Source organism: Homo sapiens, chromosome 1 (assembly GCF_000001405.40).
Source record: "Homo sapiens chromosome 1, GRCh38.p14 Primary Assembly".
Classification (NCBI taxonomy): Eukaryota; Metazoa; Chordata; class Mammalia; order Primates; family Hominidae; genus Homo; species Homo sapiens.
In genome coordinates, this window is record NC_000001.11 from 26,640,531 (window position 1) to 26,642,389 (window position 1,859).

General features: G+C 44.8%; 1 non-coding gene across 1 annotated transcript; it reads right to left on the reverse strand.

Annotated features, from left to right (window-relative positions):
- Positions 1–1,755: 1,755 nt before the first annotated feature.
- On the reverse strand, positions 1,756–1,859 carry LOC124904813 (small nucleolar RNA U13). Its single transcript, XR_007067409.1, has one exon. It is a non-coding gene; the product is annotated as a small nucleolar RNA U13 (small nucleolar RNA).

The window sequence follows — 1,859 nt, forward strand, 5'->3', positions numbered from 1 at the left end:
GTTCAACCCATTATCAAAGCCTATCTCCATGCAGTCAAAGCAGCCTGGCTGAGACTGTCCCTAGGGACCCACAACCACTGGCATCTCGCTCTCAGCCTTGGTCGCTCAGCTCTCCATAGCATTGAATTCATAATAGCCAAAAAGTGGAAACAATTCTAGGGTCCATCAGCTGATGGATAAACAAAATGTGACATAGCCACAAAATGGAATATTATTCAGCAATAAAAACGAGTGAAATACTGATACCTGCTATAACATGCATGGAACTGAAAACATTATGCTAAGTGAAAGAAGCCAGTCACACCAGGCCACAAATTGTGTGACTTATTTTATATAAAATATGTACAAAGTAGATTAGTGATCACCAGAGGCTAAAGGAATAGGGTTTAGGGCATGACTGCTAATGAGTAGAGGGTTTTCTTTGGGGGTGAAAGAATGTGCTGGAATTAGGTAGTGGTGTGAATATACTCAAATCACTGGATTGTGCACTTTATTTTATTTATTTATTTTTGAGACAGAGTCCCAGTGAGTTGCCCAGGCTGGAGTACAGTGGCGTGCTATTGGCTCACTGCAACCTCTGCCTCCTGGGTTCAAGTGATTCTCGTGCCTCAGCCTCCCAAGTAGCTGGGATTACAGGCATGTGCCACCATGTCCGGCGAATTTTTGCATTTTTAGTAGAGACAGGATTTTCCATGTTGGTCAAGCTGGTCTCAAACTCGTGGCCTCAAGTGATCTGCCTGCCTCAACCTCCCAAAGTGGTGGGATTACAGGCGTGAGCCACCGCGACTGGCCCTCTTTTTTTTTCTTTTTTTTTTTGAGACGGAGTTTCGCTCTTGTTGCCCAGGTTGGGGTGCAATGGTGCAATCTTGGCTTACCGCAACCTCTGCCTCCCAGGTTCAAGCCATTCTCCTGCCTCAGCCTCCCAAGTAGCTGGGATTACAGGCATGCGCCACCATGCCTGGATAATTGTTTTTGTATTTGTAGTAGAGACGGGGTTTCTCCATGTTGGTCAGGCTGGTCTCAAAGTCTCAACCTCAGGTGATATGCCAGCCCTGGGCTCCCAGAGCGCTGGGATTACAGGTGTGAGCCACCGCACCTGGCCCAGGCTCTCTTTCTTAAATTAGCAATGCACATGAATGCAGACCAGCATCTTTGCAGCTAAGAACTAAAAGTACATTTGAAGATTATTCTTTAGTTGGTTTATTTTGTGATTTGTCACTTGCATAGATGCCATTTGGTCACATATCATTACAGAATTGAACTGATTAGTCCATGTTTTCCTCATTTCCATAGTATTTATTTTACTGATTTACCTGCAAAAAATTGCTTTCATTTCCTTTTCAACTTTGAAAGCAAAGAGTTCAGCTACAGCTTTGAATTAGTTTTGTCTGATTACTGCTTATAATATTTACATTGTTTTAAAAACACTATTACCTTGTTTTTTGTTTTTGTTTTTTTGAGACAGAGTCTCACTCTGTTGCCTAGGCTGGAGTGCAATGGCATTGCCTGGGCTCACTGCAACCTCCGCCTCCCGGGTTCAAGCGATTCTCCTGCCTCAGCCTCCCAAGTAGCTGGGATTACAGGCGCCTGCCACCACACCTGGCTAATTTTTGTATTTTTAGTAGAGATGGGGTTTCACCATCTTGGCCAGGCTGGTCTCGAACTCCTGACCTCGTGATCTGCCCGCCTCAGCCTCCCAAAGTGCTGGGATTACAGGCGTGAGCCACTGCGCCCAGCCCTTTTTCCTCTTTTTCATGTCAGACAGGTAATGTGCCAACATCATAACAATGTTTGTGGATGGCACATTTCACACATCCATGTGAATGCCCAATCATCATGCTTATGAACTACAAAATGAT